Source organism: Homo sapiens, chromosome 9 (genome assembly GCF_000001405.40).
Source record: "Homo sapiens chromosome 9, GRCh38.p14 Primary Assembly".
Taxonomy (NCBI): Eukaryota; Metazoa; Chordata; class Mammalia; order Primates; family Hominidae; genus Homo; species Homo sapiens.
The window spans coordinates 86,283,011-86,303,050 of NC_000009.12; the positions used below are offsets into that span (position 1 = coordinate 86,283,011).

A 20,040-nucleotide genomic window follows, 5' to 3' on the forward strand; every position below is an offset into this window, starting at 1 on the left:
ACATCCATTTTCATTCTTCTTTTGTGGTCCAATTAGGCTGTTCTTAAGAGCATGGCGTTACCGCAGAGTTGTATAATCGCCACCCTCCACCCTTCTCCCCAGCGTGCTGTACTGCTGGGGATGCTGAAGGGTGGTGACTAATGCAGTTTTCATTCTGGTGCTGAACTGGGAACCAACCCTACTTGAAAATGTGACTGGGCAGCAGTGTGAATAGTCACATTTATAGCGAGCAACAATTACTCGATTTAAAACGTGTTGTCAGACCTTGTCCTGGCTGCTCAGGGGCTTAATTCTGCCTTTTGATGCAGTATTCCTGAGCACCAGACACTGCACAGGCGCGGTACCCAGGCATACACAGGAAGCCAGGTAAAGAGGGGCCAGGGAAGAATGAGATACTGGCAGGACAGGGCTAGCAGATGAAGAGAGGAGGACATCAAGACAGGTGGCATTTGTCATTGAAGTGCTAGAAGTGAAGGAAAAAGGGCAGGAGGGGTCTATGAAGCAGTCCTGGGGAGGACAGATTCGCAGTGTTTGAATGTGGGAAGAACTAATCAGTGAAACATTTTTTAAAGCCAAGTTTATCTTCGATCTCCTGCAGTTTCTGAAAGGATAGTTCAAAATTCCATCAAGTAGTTCTGACTTCCTGCTACAGAAATGCAATCGCATTGACAATAAGAGGACGCTTTTTTTTTTCCCCTAAGCCTTATCTGCACATAAACTGGGGGCCGGGCGCGTGGCTCACGCCTGTAATCCCAGCACTTTGGGAGGCCGAGGCGGGGAGATCACCTGAGGTCAGGAGTTCGAGACCAGGTTGGCCAACATGGTGAGACCCCATCTCTGCTAAAAATACAAAAATTAGCCGGGTGTGGTGGTGCACACCTGTTATCCTAGCTACTCAGGAGGCTGAGGCAGGAGAATCGCTTGAACCTGGGAGGCGGAGGTTGCAGTGAGCTGAGATCGTGCCACTGCACTCCCAGCCTGGGCAACGGAGTGAGACTCTGTCTCAAAAAAAAAAAGAAAGAACGGAAGATAGGAAGAGAGAGACAGACAGACAGATAGAAAGAAGAAAGAAAGAGAGAGAAAGAAAGAAAATAAAAGAAACTGGGGGCCGGGCGCAGTGGCTCACACGTGTAATCCCAGCACTTTGGGAGGCCGGAGGCCGGCAGATTACTTGAGATAAGGAGTTCTAGACCAGCCTGGCCAACATGGTGAAACCCCGTCTCTACTAAAAATACAAAAATTAGCCGGGCGTGTTTGCGGGCACCTGTAATCCCAGCTACCCAGGAGGCGGAGGTTGCAGTGAGCCAAGATTGCGCCACTGCACCCCAGCCTGGGTGACAGAGCGAGACTGCATCTCGAAAGAAAGAAACTGAAAAAGTGATGGGAGGGAGGAAGGGAGGGAGGGAGGGACATAGAGAGGTGGTGGTGTGGTGGGTTTGTTTCTTGGCCTTCATCTTTGACTACCTGGGGGTTTGGGATCTCATATCCTCCCTCCTACAGATATTGTGAAGATTAAATGAGTTAATACAGGAGAAGCCCTTAGAGGGGTGCAAGGCACACAGCCTCACTCAAATGGTAATTGTTAATGAGTATTTAAAGATGCCATGTATTGTGAAACTACTATAATGGTGGATAGATATCATTATGCGTTTGTCAAAACCCACACAATGTACACCACCAAGAGTGAACCCTAAGGTAAACTATGGGCACTGAGAGCTAATGATGTGTCCATGTAGGTTTAAGATTGTAACAAGTGTACCACTGTGGTGCAGAGTGACAGTGAGGCACATGTGGAAACAAGGGATATATGCAGTTCTGTTTTTCTGCTTAACTTTGCTGTGAACCTAAAACAGCCCTAAAATTAAAATTTAATAAAAATAAAAGATGCTGTCATTTTTTTTTCAGTTATTGACACATTACACAGTTGTGCAGCACTTTACAAGATTCAGAAAACTCCATGAGCATATTATATTATCTCATACTAGCCTCACAACTTTGAACTGAGTAGGGCAGAAGCACTGGCATGGCAGTTTTACAGATGCTGAAACTCAAGGATTTTAGTAGAGAGCATTAGACACTATTGAAAACATCTAGTCCTCAATTTTCTGATTCAGGATCCTGTGTATGTTTAACAGACTTCTTTCCTCTATTTAATACCCACTATTTAACAAAAACAAACAAAAAAGAAAACCCCACTATTCAGTTTTTAACTTGGTTAGTTGTTTTGCACATAAGCATTAAGTCACATAATCTACTTGTTAGTTTCTAATATCACTTGAAACTGGCACAAGTCCCTGAAATAATGTTATGTTAGAATAAATAATTTTCACGATTATTTAAGCAGTATGTGAGCTTATCTCAGAGCAGCAGCTGTCCAGTGGTGTCAAAATGAGGTGGGTATGGGAAGTGTCAAAAGAGTTACAAGCTGTAACCACTTTTAGATTTCCACTAATATGTGACAGAACTTGCAATAGGGAACTGTTTCACCCCGCACTTCAGGCATTAGTTTCATAGTTCTAGACATTTAAAGAAGTGTTTTCCTGGTAAGACCTCACTTGATTATCACAACTGTGTGGAAAGCCAAGAATGGTTTCCATTTTATAGGAATGGAAACTGAACTGCCTGAGATTAGGGGACTGCCACACAGCTGGAAAACGAGGTGGGCCAGACCTTGTCTAAGTCTAGAGTTCCATTCAGTGGAAAGTCTATGTAGTTCTTGACTGCTGCTGTCCAAATATGCCTGCTTCCAAAGAAAAAACTACTGAGGGCTTTACAGTTTTACAGGGGTTTGATAAATTCTGTTTTCAACGTGTGTGTGTATATTTTTGCTTGTAACACTGAACTCTATTGATGTATTTATCCAGGATCTTTTCCACTCAGGAAAGATTTAAAAGTAGAAGCCATTTGTCAAACATATTTCAAGAAGAAAAATACACTGAAGTTATCTAAGAACATTTAAAAACATTTTTGCACACTGCTGATCCTGCACACATTGAGCAAGAGTTTTGTTGTTGTTGTTGTTGTTTGAGATGGAGTCTTGCTCTGTCGCCGAGGCTGGAGTGCAGTGGTGCAATCTTGGCTCATTGCAACCTCCGTCTCCTGGGTTCAAGTGATTCTCCTGCCTCAGCCTTCTGAGTAGCTGGGATTACAGATGCCCATTACCAAGCCCAGCTAATTTTTGTATTTTTAGTAGAGACGGGGTTTTGCCATGTTGGCCAGGCTGGTCTCGAACTCCTGACCTCAAGCGATCTGCCCGCCTCGGCCTCCCAAAGTGCTGGGATTACAGGGGTGAGCCACTGCACCCAGCCAAGCAAGAGTTTTAAACATCATAGATTGGGGCCACTGGACCACTGCTATACAAAAGAGATTTCATATTTTTGTTCCTGAGAGAAGGTGGCAAGGAGAACCTTGGTAATGGGGCATTTGTACAGCTTAAGATAGATAAGCCGGCTGCACTTGAAAGATAGCTAGGCCAATGGACTTAGCAAAGAGCAGACGTTTTGGCATCCCAGCTGGGGCAGCAAGATGGGGCTGCGACCACATCCAGGTAAAGAATCAAGGGCAATCCATTATCCAGGCCTGCTGGCAAATACTGCTCATTGTCCCATGGATCCAGTGTGAGGTATTGAAAATCAAACAAAAGACCCAGTACTTTGGGCAGAAGCTACCTTAAGGATCAGATTAAAATGTAGGAAACTTTTAACATCCTTAAAGGGATACAAGAAAATATGGCTCCTATGAAAAGGAAGAGAATATAAGTAAACTAAAGAAATGAGAGGTAAAGGAAGGTCAGTGAGGCAAATTCCAGAAAATTAGAAGTGCAATGAGAAAATCCATATTAGAAACAGGAAGCACCAGAATGACAGTAAAAATTAAGCCAGTCATGTAGAGATTAAACTTGAAGTTTTCCTAGCATGAAAAGTCACTGGATAGATGTATTTCTATATTGAGGTAATTTTCTTTCTGAATTACAGGGATAAAATTAAAAAACAGAAGCACCCAGGCAGAAAAACAAAACCTACAAGAGAACAAAAATCAGCCTGGTCTTAGACTTGTCTTCTGCTATAATGCTAGAAAACAACAGAACAGCATCAATGGGCTTTTCAAAGAAAAGTGTGACAAGCATTGTAAGCCTAGTCGACTTTCATGCATGAGTTAGAGAGAAGAAACCAGAAGGGGGCAGCTGAGGACGGTCACGTAGAGCAGCATCAGCCCAGGTTGCGTCATTCATTAGTTTGCGTTCAAAATGAGTAGGGAATGATCACTAATTCTTTCTACCATGGCCTCCAAATTCTGAAGTCTTTAATTTTGATATGATTCGTCTTTAGCTAGACTGTCTTCAAATAATTGTTTAAAAAAGAAGGGCACAGGGATGTGCGTCTTCTGAGTCCTCAAACATCCAGAATGTTCGTCCAGCAAGCACCCCCTGAGCCTCCCTGCCTACAAATTCCCCGCCCCCCCACCCCCATCTGTGCCTTTTATAATAACAAATTTATACGTTCCCAGAGCCTGGAACACACTGGATGTTAACACACACCAATGATTGCAAGGGCACAAGTCAAAGGGAAGTCTGTGTACACTATTTTAGGGGAGTATATTTGTCCTTTCTTCTTTTTTGTTAAACGCCTCTTACTATCATTCCCAATGTTCTCACTCCTTGATCTTTTTTTTTTTTCCCCAGGAAATTTAGGAATCTTTCACTAGAAAATAATGTAGATAAAATTACAGGTTGAAATTCTGATTTTATTTCAAAATGATAAATAAACCGAGGCATAGTTCTGACCAGGTACTATGTCTGCAGGGCTTTTGAAATTAAAGAAACAGTCCAGGAGGGCTCCAGTCAGACCCAGAATGACACCAGCCACACTTGTGACTGGCAGAGATAACCTCTTTGATCTTCAGCAATTTTAAAAGTTCTTCATCCTAATTTCTGAGTATCATAAAAAGTAAAAAGTACTTTCATTTTATTTTTCCTTTGAAAATGTTTTTAGTGGCAAACAGGACTACTTGTTTTCCTTACTTCATTTTTATAAGCATAGTAGTTATATGTCAATTTACTTAAAATTAGAGAGGGAAACCCCAGAGACCTGAGTGGCACTGCCCATCCACTGAAGGCCCACATAAATAGGTACTCATGTTCATGTTATCACGTCTACAAATAGCAATAAAATGATGTCCGTAAATCGGAAGTACAGCAGTAGCAGTTCATACATATCTGATATGCTTTCACACCAGGATTCAGTAAACAACAATAAATATAATTTCCCCTCTTCAAAACAAAAAATGGATTTATACGGAAAAAGGGTTAATTTACTTGGGGTTTATCAGCACACCATTTTTAATGTGCTTTGAAAGAATTAAAAACCATGAAACTGTATTCACTGAATACCGGTCCATAGTTATATTTTTTCTTTTAACGTGGCTTAAATACATACATCATGTCTTTCTATTAAAATCCTTAAATCTATGGGGATGTGTGGTAGATAAGACTATATTAAAAATTTTTCCTCATTAACAATTTCATTAAATTAAAAAAAAATCTGACATTTCCCTTAAATGTTAAGTTGAAGCCTGATCTACACTGCTGTGTCCTGTGAAATGAACCTAATTTTCCGAGTGAATAGGAACGCCTGAGTGGCCATTTAGAGTGCTGCATTTTCCTTCCCTCATGATTCCTGCTGGGTCCTCTTCGCTGAGGCTTTTCCCTGAGTCATATATTTACTGGAAAGGCTACCTAGAGGAGGGGAAGAAACAAAACCCAATATAAATGAAACAAGCCTCGCTTTATGACAAAAGCCATAAAATTACTTCTTATTAAGTAGTCACAAAAACTTCATACTAGAATTGGTCACTTGTTTTGAATCAAGTAATAAGACTTGATATTGAAAAGTATATATGCACATGATTAATTAAATATAAGCTTAGTCAAAATTCTTTCTGAATGCAGACAGGTTCCTAGAGTGATCTCATTTTAATACATTTACATATTCACTATTTCCATGTTGGTACAGAGCACCAGACGAACTTAAGGTTCTGCCTTGTATAATTCAGTATCTTCATTTGCAGCCAAACATAATAGATTGCAAAGAATTATCTGGCCAGAAATAAATATCTTAGATCATTACTCTGCAGATACGAAGCTGTGGATGGTAATCATTGTAGCAATAACTTATTGATATAAAAGGAAAAAGGGAAATTTATTATATTTACAGGTGGAGGACACAAATGAGGATTACTGATTAAAACCAATACCACAGAATAGTTACTAAATTTTGTTCTGGAGTCTGAACAAATAGATCAACGAAAAAACTGAAGAGACCTGAGAAATTCTTAAGTGATTATATGTAACAAAGTAATACATAATGAAGTTTGCATTTCAAACCAATGGGGGAAAGTATGAATTATTCAATAACTGTATTATGTCAAATAAGTAATTTTGGAGGGGAAGAAAGGAGGTAGTTTCCCTCCTCACACCATATCCTTCTTCTCTACCCATTTCCAAGTGAATACAGAATTAAATGTAACTATAAGAAAGTCAGAGCGTAAGAAAGAGTGAGTAATCCTGTAGGTAATCCTGGGGTAGGGTAAGAGTTTCCTAAGCACACTACCATACTTAATGAACTTGTAAGTCACCAGAGAAAAGAATGAACACCAATAGATAACTAGGTAATGAAAAGGTAATATATAAAATAGAAAAAAAAATGGCATAAGTATATGAAAAAATTCTATATCAGGGGTAATCAATGAAATGCAAATTAAAACTATCAATTTTTGGTTGCCAAATTATTAGAAGGAAGAAGATCAGGAGGAGGTGGGTAGAAATTCTGCTAAATAAATATTCATAAAAACCTTATAATTAACAATGCAAAGAACTTAAAATCCAAAACTTACGATATGACCAAGTATATGAGGAACTATGCACATAATAGAATATTAGGTATACACAGAAGGATAATAATATGAAAAAACAAGGTATAAAACTATATAAATAGCATTTTCAAAAAACTAAAATATACCCCACCAATCATGTATTTGGTGCCTCATTTTCTTTATCTGTAAAATGAGGACAATAATACCTGCCCCCTTGAAGTTATTGTGAAGATTAGACGAATACATGTAAAGCAACTGGAATAGTACTTGGTACTAGAAAATGCTTAATAAATGTTAACTATTATTGTATTAATGTAAAAAGACAGGAAAACTTTATCCCCAAAATCTAAATAGTAGTTAATGCTAGAATGGAGGGAGTACAGATGGTTTTTATTTTCTTCATTTTACTTAACATTACTTTCTAAATTTTCCATAGCAAACATAGTAAGTATGCAAATAAAAACATTCCCTAAACACATACTTTTCAAAGCAGGACATCGAGATAAGCAACTCACAATGAAAAATATCAGCCAGGGAATTCAGTAAGAAATTTCAGTCAAGAAGAAACAAAGTACTCTATTGTTCTACCACTGTATTATTTATGCCACAAAGTGTCTACTAGTCTGTAGGCACCCATCTTCGATATTGTGAACTGCACAAAGTATGGAGATTTGGCTTTTCAGCCAGGCGGTGGCTCATGCCTGTAATCCTAGCACTTTGGGAGGCCAAGGCGGGCAGACTGCCTGAGCTCAGGAGTTCGAGACCAGCCTGGGCAACATGGTGAAACCTCGTCTCTACTAAAATACAAAAAAAAAAAAAAAAAAAAAAATTAGCTGGGTTATGGCAGTGGCACACTAGTAGTCCCAGCTACTCGGAAGGCTGAGGCAGGAGAATTGCTCGAACCCAGGAGTGGAGGTTGCAGTAAGCCAAGATCATGCCATTGCACTCCAGCCTGGGCGACAGAGCAAGACTCCATCTCAAAAAAGAAAAAAAAAGAGACTACCTCATACTTCATACACATACAAACTCTGGATGGATTAAAGGTCTAAATAGAAAAAACAAAGTTTTAAAGCTGTTAGAAGAAAATACAGATGGATATCTTTATGACCTCAGGTTAGAGAAGAATTTCTTAAAGATGACCCTAAATTATGAACCAAATGATGATGAAAACTAATTATGGAAAACTAATAATTTGATTATCTCAAAATTAAAAACTTTGGAATGGCAATACACACAAAAAGTTGAAACAGAAGATATACTGCAGGTAGACACTTGAAATTTATATAATAATAAAAGAGCGGTATTCAGAATAAATGAAGAACCTTTAAAAATTAATAGGGAAATAATTCAATGGGAAAATGGGCAAATGATTTGGACAGACAATTCACAGAAGAGGAACTCCAAATGGCCAATAAACATGTAAAAAGGGCCTGTAATCCCAGCATTTTGGGATGCTGAGGTAGGTGGATCACTTGAGGTCAGGAGTTCAAGGCCAGCCTGGCCAACATGGTGAAACCCTGTCTCTACTAAAAATACAAAAATTAGCCGGGTGTCATGGTATGTGCTTGTAATCCCAGCCATTCGAGAGACAGGAGGCAGGAGAATCGCTTGAATCCAGGAGGCAGACGTTGTGGTGAGCCGAGATTGTGCCATTGCACTCCAGCCTGGGCAACAAGAGCGAAACTCCATCTCAAAAAAAAAAAAAAAAAAAAGTAAAAGGGCCCCTTGCATCACCAGAGTCATACAAATACACATGAGAACAACACCAAAGTAGTTTTCATCCATCAGACTTGCAAAAATGAAAATTCTGAAAAATTAATAAATAAAGTATTTGGAAGAATACATAGAAATGACCCACACACTGCTGGTGGGAGTTCTAATTATTTCAGCCAATACAAGCGTAATCTGATAGAATCTAACTAAAATGCACATAAGCTATGACCTAACGATTTGACTTGTAGACACACAAACCCTAAAGAATCTCTCATACATGCTCAAGGGGACTTCCACAAGGATGTTCACTATAGCACTGTTAATAACAGCAGAATATTGAATACAACCTAAAACTGGGTAATAAATACATAGAATATTTTTTATTCACAGGGTGGAATACTGTAAAGAAAAAAACCCAAATATAAAAACAGCACCATATAAAAGTTTTAAAATAGATGAGGTCTAGCTTGTTGCCCAGTCTGGAGTGCAGTGCAGTGACTATTCACAGGCACTATCATTGCATACTACAGTGTCAGATCTCCCGGGCTCAAGCCATCCTCCTGCCTCAGCCTCCTGAGTGGCTGAGACTGCATGCCCGTGCCACCATCCCTGGTTTGTAGGACATTCTTATTATATGCCATGATATGCCATTTTAATTTAAAAATTCACCAAGGAGAAACATATGTTAAGGAGTACATATGAAAGAGTATAAAAAATGAACCAGAAGGGGCTGGGTGCAGTGGCTCACACCTGTAATCCCAGCTACTTGGGAGGCTGAGGCAGAAGAATCACTGGAACCTAGGAGGTGAAGGCTGCAGTGAGCAGAGATCACACCACTACACTCCAGCCTGGGTGACAGAGGGAGACTTTGTCTCAAAAAAAAAAAAAAGGAAACTTGGAGACTTAACCTCATAATAATGGATGTTTCTAGGGTTGAGAGGGACATGACAGAGGAAACGATGTTGGTGATGGTACTCAAGGCACTTCCACTACCTCAGTGACAGGTCTTTTATTAAAAAAAAAAAAAAAAGAGATTGAGCCAGGCACAGGTGGCTCATGCCTGTGAGCTACTTGGGAGGCTGAGGTGGGAGGATTTCTTGAGCCCAGGAGTTCGAGGTTGCAGTGAGCTATGATTGTGCCACTGCACTCCTACCTGGGTGACAGAGTGAAACCCTTCTCTCTAAAAGAAAAAAAAAATTGAAAAACAATGCCAATTCTCTAGAAGGTAAGTTAGTTATTGTTATACTGCTACTTGCCCGTTTCTGTTTTTCCCAAAATGTTAAACCCTTTGGTAAGTATAGTACTAGTAGTTTTACTACTGTAGCATTTAAACATGTAATCTACTATATCAGAAAAATCTTCACTATACCTGAATATAAAATATTTGCATGTAAAAAAACAAAAGTACTAGAAATAACACATGAATGAATTTTTATATAATATAGAGGAATAATATGGCATTTATAAAATTTGGTAAGCATGATAAGAAACCATGCAAAAGTTGGCTAGATCACACTATTAAAACAAACATTCATCTGTATGGCAAACACATATAAGTGAGGTTAAAATAATAAACTGGGCCGGGTGGAGTGGCTCATGCCTGTAATCCCAACACTTCTGGAAACTGAGGAGGATCATCTGAGCCCAAGAGTTCAAGACGAGCCTGGGCAACATGGCGAGACCCTGTCTCTACAAAAAAATTTTAAAAATCAGCTGAGTGTGGTCTCACTAGCTTATGGTCCCAGCTACTCGGGAGACTGAGATGGGAGGATCGCTTGAGAGTTCAAGGCTGTAGTGAGCTATAATTGAGCCACTGCACTCCAGCCTGGGCGACAGTGAGACCCTGTCAAGAATACTCCAATACAAAAGTACAAAGAAAGATAGATGAAATCATGTAAAAAAAAATGGTAAAGTTCAATGGTAATAATAGGAATTCAAGCAGGTGTAAAATGAAAAAAGACTATCCCAATGAAGTCAGGGTATGGGAAACAATGTCACTGACTCTCCGGGATTGTCAACAATCACAATTTGGGAATATTGGCATCACTGTCAAAATGTGCATACTTTTAAACCTATCATTCTTATGAGCGGGAATTTATCCTGATGAAATAACTAGACAAATATGCGACTATTCATTAGAGTGTTTTATATAAATGGTGCTCTTCCAACCTGGGCCCATGTGTTCCTGAGCCTACCTGACAGGGCATGTGGCTTGATCTCGGCTCACTGCAGCCTCCACCTCCCAGGTTCAAGTGATTCTCCTGCCCTCAGCCTCCTGAGCAGCTGGGATTATAGGCGCACACCAGTACACCTGACTAAATCTGTCTTTTTAGTAGAGATGGGGTTTCACCATGTTGGCCAGGCTGGTCTCGGAACTCCCAACCTCAGGTGATCCACCCGCCTCGGTGTCTCAAAGTACTAGGATTATAGGCGTGAGCCATGGCGCCCGGCCGCAAGGATAGTTTTAAGAGAGTCAATTTCTAGCTCTTCAACTTCCATGTGTACTCTTTCTTAAAAATTATATGTCTGTGAATGCCTTTGTGGTCAAGGCTTAGGCTGGTTTTCAGGAATCACTCCACCTGTCCTTTCTAATTCCCCTTTCACAATTATTTATCTACTTTACAAAAGAAAGGCGTATCTCCTAACCAGCCAAATCCTACTGTGGTGTATTGCCATGAGGCAAAAAAAAAAAAAAAAAAAAACCCAGAGAAGAGGAGAGGCAAACAAAATGCTGGTGTCTGTGGTGAATGTAAATGCCTCTAATAAAAATCCAAATTTTTAGCTTTCATAAAATTACATTGATAGTGGATGATCATTACAAATAATTTTTGATGATACATCACTGTGATTTTTTGTCATGTAATTAAGAAGGAATCAAAATAATTGAGTGGCACTATTGTAATATATCTTCTATTCCCAAACTCAAAGTATTTCTATTATTTTTAATTTGCTATCATAAAGAATATTGGGGTTTTTCCATTTTTATCAACTATAAAAAAAAATTAGGGATAGAAAAGGAACAGTTTCATTCACGCAGTAAATAATGTCGACCCAAAGATATGTGAATGTATAGGGAAAAAATCTCATCTTTCTTATTAAAGTCGTTGTAAGTAAACATAAAAAGTAATTATTATTATTATTTTAATATTTGTTTATTATTATTATATTTTAAGTTTTAGGGTACATGTGCACAACATGCAGGTTTGTTACATATGTATACATGTGCCATGTTGGTGTGCTGCACCCATTAACTCGTCATTTAGCATTAGGTATAAAAAAAAAAAGTAATTTTTAATTAAAATTTGTAACATTTGTTTTGATCAATTATATATTCTAATAATTGTGAAAACTCAATATAGAAGATATTTTCATCCTTTGAGATTTAATAAAAAGCTTAAAAATTCAATTTATAGAAAATAGGGCCTAGCTTGTTGCCCCTGTCATTTTTGTTGCAGATAAGCATGATAAGCTACTCAATAAAATATTTGAAAATATGTGTAATAAAAATATATCATCTCAGGGAGAAGTTCAAACAAACAAACAAAATATATCATCTTATGCTGAAATTCTGTAGAAGTACAACAAAGGAATTCAAGGAGGAAAGGGAAATGATATATAATTTTTGCCTGTTAAAGAAGAGCTGAGCTGTATATAAATGATGGTGGGTATGAAAAAGCAATAATATTTATACTTCATTTGATACATTTAAGGCTGATTTAAAAGTTTTATTTTAAAATGTCAATATTTACAGCCCCCCTCCCCCAAGAAATTACATGCTTTGCAACTACAATGAAAGATTTAGATATCAACTTTAAAAATGTACAAGGAAATATATGGACTTTCAATATTTTGGGAAAGAATATGCAAGCACAAGTTGTGAAGACACTTGATATATCAAATATGTGAAAACAGCCAGTCCATTAATAAGACATGATTAAATAAACAATGGTATATTAATACACTAGAATATTCAAAGAAGGGTATCAACAAGAATGATCTATATTCACTGACAATGAGCTCTCCCCATACTATTTTAAAAAGTATTTCTATTATTTTAAGCTTATTATCATAAAGAACACTGGTTTTCGTTTTTTAAAATAAGCAGGCCTTAAAATTCTGGTCAATGATAAAAGCTGTAAAAGAATACATCACCATGAGGGCAAAAAGACATCCACCAATCTCTTACAGCAACTCCAATTTTTCAGATTTCAAGCCATGAGATTAAAATGGAATAAATAAATAGACAGAGGTAGTTTTTTTTTTGTTTTTTGTTTTTTCGGTAATTTTCTTTACCAAAAAAAGGGTAGGAAGGTTAAGGAATAGAAAAAAACATTAGTTTTCTGAGATTCTCATACTGAATAAATTGTCATACATAAACCAGAGTCATTAACTTAAGCATAAAAATCAGTTTATCACTGTGGTACCACAATCTCTACATACTTATGTTAAAAATTTCCATTATTTGTTTGTCCTATAAGTTAGAAGAGAGAAATTACAGCAAGTGTTTGTTAACCACAGTAACAAAGGGCAGTGATAATTTATTGAGTGATGAGATGTGTCGGATGCTGTGTTAAGTGCTTTATCTACATGAACTTAATCCTTACAATAGTCCTGTGAGGTGTTAGCACCAATTTGCCAAAAAGGAAACTGAGGCACAGAGAGGTTGCATAACTTGATAGAGGTCACACAACTAGTAAATGGTTGGGCTGGATTTCAAACTCAAGTGTCTCACTCTAAAACTCATGTTCTTGACCATTCTCCTGCTTTGTCTTTTTATTCCTTCCAAATAAGTTCACCTCTAATCAATAAAACCTACTGAATATCTAAGGCATTATGTGTGGGGGATAGAGGGGGAGGGAGGTAACAACGAAGAGCAAGGACATTCATGGGATTTTCTATCTACTGTGATCTCCTTTGGGAGTAAAGAACTATATGCAACCTAGAGGAAAGGATGGGGGTAGGTATCAGGAGAGGAAAGAGAACTTGACTGAGTGCCTACTCTGGGCAGTACTTTAATCTTCTTAGCACCCTATGAGATAAACGGTGTTAACACCAATTTTATAGATGACATATCTGGAGCTCAGAGAAACCACATCTCTTGCCTAAGGTCAATACACCATATATGAGAGTAGGGGCTGTCCGTATCAACATGCTTTCTTGAGAAACTACAAGTGGGCCAAAGACATACTTAATACTATGGAAAGGAAGAGCTGTGGGGAAATTAACACCACTTACAGGTGAGATACAGTTCACATTTATAACAACATAGATAATTTGGATACATATATCACAGATAAACTAGACAGTTATATCATCTGACATATACTTATTTGGAAGAGTCTGATTTATTGGATAGGATCGATTTTAACCACCTATAAATGTTTTCTTTTTTCTGGTATAAAGTAACATAATTATTGCAATACATTTTTCCTGTAGTAAATTTAAGTTAATACTTTTTTTCCAGTTGCTCAAAAGATTTATAAATATGTAGGTTTTTTACTAAGAAGATAATTACAGAAATCGTAACTTACTGTCAATGCTATTTCTAGGTGTATGCCTAGCATCTATATTTCTCTCTCAACTGAACAATGCTGGCACTGGAAGACTTGGTGATACCCTGAAGGAATAATAACATCAATGCAATCACCACCACGAACCTTTTCCCTTTTCTCTGCTCTCACTATATGCAGGCGCTGTTCTAAGTACTTTTACATGGATTTCTCAACATCCCTGTCAGGTATTATTATTACCCCCTTTTTACACATGAGAAAACTGAGGCATATGGAGGATAAGGCAGTCTCTCAGGATCACAAAGCTAGAAATTACACCCACGTAATTGTAAACACTATGCTACGTTATTCTCGGCAAAATGAACACCTTGGCTACGCAAGAATTAGTTTTTTTTCCCTATATAAAGTGTTTAGAAAGTATCTGCTCAAGGCTGAAGCTTATGGCCAGGTGTGGCGGCTCATATCTATCATTTTAGTATTTTGGGAGGCCAAGGTGGGAGGATCACATGAGGCCAGGAGTTCAAGACCAGTCTGGGCAACATAGTGAGACCACATCTCTACAAATCGGGAGGCTGAGATGGCTTGGTTTCTAAGTAGCTACCCTGCCTCCACACAGGAGCCATAATGAACCTTTTAAAACAGAATTCAGATAATATCACTCCTTGGCTCAAAACCCTACAATAGTCTCTCATTTCACTTTGAGGGAGAAAAAAACCAACAAAAACGGTACCTACCACTGCTGAAGGCGCTTCATAACCCAGATCTATCCACCCTCTGACTTCACCTCTACCACTCACTCACCCTTCTGCCTGCTCCACTTTTTTTTTTTTTTCAAATTTCTTCTGTCTCTCGAGTTTCCAATCCTGTTCCACTCCTGCCACACTGCCTCAGTGATGCTGCAGGACAACACCTGTTTCCATCTCTGAGTTTACCAGTCTAACACCAATTTCCCCCGACTGGCCCCTTTGTTTCATTTGATTCTTTGCTTAAATGTTACTTTACCAGAGATGCTGCCTCCTTAGCCAACCATTCTCTTTCCCTTTTCTTGTTTTGTTATTTCTTCCTAGCATTTGCCACCACATGACATATTATTTCTGTATCTCTTTATTGTCTACCTCTTCTGAAAAGGATGCAGAGTAAATGAGAGAAGGGGCTTTGCTTGTTCACTGCTGTATCTTCAGTGTTGAGGCTGGTGTCCTGAACTTGGAAAGGGAGGGGAGAGGCTGGATAGCTATTTGTTGAAAGAATGAATAAATGAAGTAGCTGAGAGGTAACAGTGGAGTTCAGGCTAGAGATTAGTTTTTTTCCTTACTTTGTGTGTGGCAAATACTCTCCAGGAGGAGAAAACACTGCTGGCAAGACAGCAGCAACAAAAAGCACGGGACTGGAACAAATAATTGAAGACTCTGGTTGCCACTCATGGGTGGTATAAACATCACTTGGAATTTACAAAACACACAGGCCCATGCTTAACCACTGAAGAATTAGCTTTAGGAAATAAAGGTAGAGGATGGGCAACTATATGTTTTAAAGTTCCCCCAAGTGATTCTGATGTCCAATCCCTGTTAAAAGCACATATTTGGAGAAAAAGTCTCAAAAGGCATGTGGTAAAGTATGCAGTAAATAAAATAACACACATTTGTTTTTTTTAAAACCCACATACCTGACTGGGGACTCAAAAATATTGTTGTTTTTTGTTTCTTTTTGTCTTCATGTAAAAGCACTGCCTAAAAAATGAAATAGACTGGTTTACAAAATCGAAAGGAAGAGCATCTGAAACAGCCTTAAAACCGAAACCATATCCAAGGAGAGCTGAAATAAGGCATGTGGGTGGCAGAATTTTGCAAGTTAACTGAAAAGCAAGACCATGGGCAGGAGTTCTGAAACAAGGCCCCGCCATCCGGTGCCCAGTAAGCCTCACCACGCACCACACCCGCGCAGGACAGACAGGAGTGCTGCAGGTCAGCCAGAGGAAGGAGGGCCCGCACTGCCAGCACAGCGCAAGGACATGGTGCAGAGCTGAGAGCACTCAGGGAGCAGCTCCTGAGTGAACAGATGACAGACACGCCTCCTTCTCCGTTTGAGCTAGGTTTACCTGAACAAATAAACCAGTTGGTTTCAATGGGACAGGTGAGGGCGATCCAAACATACAATCTGATTTAGACATTCCTAAAAAAGAAATTAGCACTTTTTGTTCCTACTTTAAATTGAAAGCAGTAGCCCTGTTTTCAAACTTTCACAGAGAGACTGTCTGTTGGTGTGACAGAAGCTCCACTCAGTATATTGTGTGGACAAAGGAGCAATATATCTGAAGAAACAAGAGAGAGCAGCATAATTTTGAGAGAGGAAGAAGCAGCTGATTATTTTTGAACTGCCACCAAAGGAAATTCCCTGTATCTATCCCCATGCCTCCACTGTCATTTCACTTTTAAAATATGATGACTACTAACTTTAATGTGTCAAGACTGCATTCTGAAGGGACCACATTTCTAGATAAGTGCTCTTCCTTATGCTTGATAATTCCCCTGCCACCCGGACTACCCGCCCCGCATCTTTTTGAGTTGCTGCTGTCCCCACAGGCTGCCAAAATCATTGGTCTAACTGTTGTGAGAGCTTCCCTAGTACACAACTTAAAACTTGCTGCTAGCGAGAAAAAAGAAATTCATCAAAGCTGGGGCAAATTCTCCACTTTGTTGTACCAAAGAGGAAGACTGTAATAATGTTTCAGTCATGAGTAATCAACACAGGCCTCGAGTAATTTTAGGAATAATTTTGGGAATACTATTTAAAAGTTATCTATACTATTTACAGTTTCCTTACCTGTAAAACAGCAGATATTAATGTATTTAATGAAGCTGTTGTAAAAATTAAATGAAATTATCCATGTAAAGTACTTAAAATAGTGCCTAACTCATAGTGAATGCTCAATGAATGTTAGCAACTATTATTATTGTAATTTCTTTTAAATACATTTTCCTCTTAAAACAACAAAAGAAAATCACTTTATTCTGGTATATGTCCCATGTGAGCAGCTAAAGCTGTATCTTTCATAAACATTTAAACCCTACTCTAAAAATAATAGATAAAAATTTTTAAGTATTTTGATCTTTTCATATAAAGCTCCTTTAAAAAAGAATGGGTATGATCTAAAAATCTCCTGTCTTAAAAAAAGATACACTATATTGCTGAATATGATAAAATAAAATAGAAGAGAGGTATTCTTGTTCCAAGAACTATACACATGGAGTATTTTAGGGAAACTGTAAAGCAGCTGACACTTTATGCTGTCCACAAACATATATATACAACTGAGGATAGCGACAGGATTGACTACTTTAATTAGAAAAAAATTACTTCCAAATATTTCTTTTCTATGCTTATCAAATTTCATCACTTGCACAGTTCTGAGAAGTGAGAATGTAAATTGCTTTGTAAATCATTACTTATTATACACACACAAGGTACCCTTATAGTTAGTAGTCTGTTTAAAAGGTGCCCACAATAGACATTTCACCCATTTAGCAAAAATGGCCAATTTGTATTTAACAACTCAAAGGGGCCAGATTTGTGGATGGTGTTGTTAATGACTGCTAATAGATATTTTCTTCGTCATAAGAATAATCATGCTCACTTGTAGAAAATCAAAATGACAAAATCTACAGAAAAAAATCTTCCATAATTCCCCTCTGCAGATTCACCCACTGCTAACTATGCAGCCTATTTCTTTCTGTTCCCTTTTCTATGCATGTGCCTGTGTGTGGCTCACCTGTGCACAGAGCATGGTGTCCTGAGATAACTCTGGCTACCGCCACCCCTGTGATTTGATTTCACAAGTACATATATCAAGTAGCAAAGCTCAAGTTGCAGCTTCTTTTCTGGTCACTGAGGCTACATGTGCAGGTACCAGGGATGATTACACTTTCACCTCACTGATAATCTTAGAAAAGTTCACCAAATGACTCTCATAAGACTCTAAATAAAGCCAGGAATAAGATATATGGAGGATCAACATTAAAGGAGGGGGAAGGGATTTTACTTTCTTAAAAACAAGATCTTTTTTGAGTAAATATATTGATAAAGAAATAAAGATAACTAAAATAGTAAAGAGCTCTAAAAAGCAGATTTCCCTTGAGATGTTAGAGCAAACATCAAGGTGTGATAGGTGTCCATACCTGAAGAGCCTTTAAACTGTGGGCATTCCTTTTTAATGTGCCCTTCTCTTCCACAAATAAAACAACGTTTTTCTCTTAAGTCTTTGTCATCCTGTCTCTTCCATTTTTCTACTGGTGGCCTGAGGATCTTCTCCCTCCCCAGGTCAGCAGCTGCCCGCATTGGCTTGGCTTTCTGAGGTGTGCACTGTATGGGCTTATCTTCTTTTGTTGACACCTCCCTTTCTGTGTACTTGTTGTGAATTTCTTTGTCCTCTTTGCTTCTTTTTTCCTTGTTCTCAGGGTATCTTTGGTTCAGGGCATCTTCCTGATCTCGCCGCCGTCTTACTCTGTAGAAGATATCATATTAGTAGCAAAAATCTAAACAGAAGCCTAACAAAATATTAAGGCAATTCCCAAAATATTAAGGCAATTCTAGATTTAAGAGATGACCAGGAATAGAAAGTATTAAAAGGAAAAGCAAGAACCTAAATGAAAATCCATCTTCTCTGTTAAGATGCTCCCTCAGGGTTTAAGGGTGCAGTTTTTCTTCTTCATTTTCAAAGTTGCTCTAGTGCTGTAAAACCAATGACTGCAATTAGTGGCACTCCTTGGCTGAATGCCTACTTTGACACTGATGTAATGAAAGGCAAATCATCCATGGAGTGATTTCTTGAACGGCCTTTCTGGCACATTAGCATTCTTTCTTTACTTGGCACTGGAAATTTTAGATGTGAAGGCTTAAATTCACAAAGGAACAATGGTTTTAAGATTTATGCTCTTAAAATGTCAAAATCATTTCTCCCTTATCCTAATAATCACTGATTTTTGAGTAATGAAAAAAAGGACTGAAAAACAAAGCTTCTCAAATTCCAGATGGTAACCTAATTTGAGCACCATGTTTTAAAATATTGCTGTACAGTTAAAAACACCACCACTACCACCCAAAACAACGTATCCCAAGGCAAGCAAGCAAAAACATGTCTCTCTTGCCCCCCAATAAACGCCACCAGAAGAAAGCATGGGGACTAAACTGCATGGCTTACCTACTCACAACAATTATTAAGGGTTAAGTGGAATACAAACAAAGAGTGCTAAAATCCAGTGAACTGTTTGTGAATATATATCCCAACGTGCTGAACAGTTACTGTGCATTAGAGATGTAACTGAGATCCTGAAGGAACTCATTTGACTGTTTACTGACTGAAATGATTCTGAACTTCTCACTACTGTAAAAAGGAAGAATTTTTGTTTCCTCTTTTCACCATGTTGGCAAGGCTGGTCTTGAACTCCTGGCCTCAAGTGATCCGCCTGCCTTGGCCTCCCAAAGTGCTGGGATTACAGGCATGAGCTACTACACCTGGGCTTTTTTTTTTTTTTTCTGAGACAGAATCTTGCTCTTTTGCCCAGGCTGGAGTGCAATGGCGTGATTTGGGCTCACTGCAATCTCTGCCTCCCGGGTTCAAGCGATTCTGCAGCCTCAGCCTCCCAAGTAGCTGGGACTACAGGTGCCCGCCACCATGCTTGGCTAATTTTTAGTAGAGATGAGGTTTCACCATGTGGGTCAGGCTGGTCTTGAACTCCTGACCTCAGGTGATCCACTCGCCTTGGCCTCCCAAAGTGCTGGGATTACAGGCGTGAACCACTGCACCCGGCCTAAAGTCATGTTTTAAATCACTTCATTTCATTAAAAAATAAAATAAAAAACTTAAATGTATCTGAAAACTGCTGGATTTTACACAAGTGTATTTTCTTTGTTATAATAGTACCTCATTTAAAAATTGGGACATTAAGAAAAT

The 20,040-nt window shown here is 38.5% G+C and overlaps 1 protein-coding gene across 18 annotated transcripts in view; it reads right to left on the minus strand.

Moving 5' to 3' along the window:
- Positions 4,723–20,040, minus strand: part of TUT7 (terminal uridylyl transferase 7) — a 66,678-nt gene continuing 51,360 nt past the window's right edge. For 6 of the 18 annotated variants that reach the window (NM_001185059.2, NM_001185074.2, NM_024617.4 and 3 more), the window contains 2 exons: positions 18,266–18,591; positions 4,723–5,734 (listed from right to left, as the gene is read on the minus strand). In NM_001185059.2, the coding sequence (NP_001171988.1) occupies positions 5,667–5,734; positions 18,266–18,591 (394 nt within the window). In that variant the 3' untranslated portion in view covers positions 4,723–5,666. Of the gene's footprint in view, positions 5,735–12,287; positions 15,821–16,188; positions 16,263–18,265; positions 18,592–18,729; positions 18,819–20,040 lie in introns of those variants that run through there. The other 12 variants (XM_011519012.3, XM_011519011.3, XM_011519014.3 and 9 more) reach the window with 8 other exon arrangements.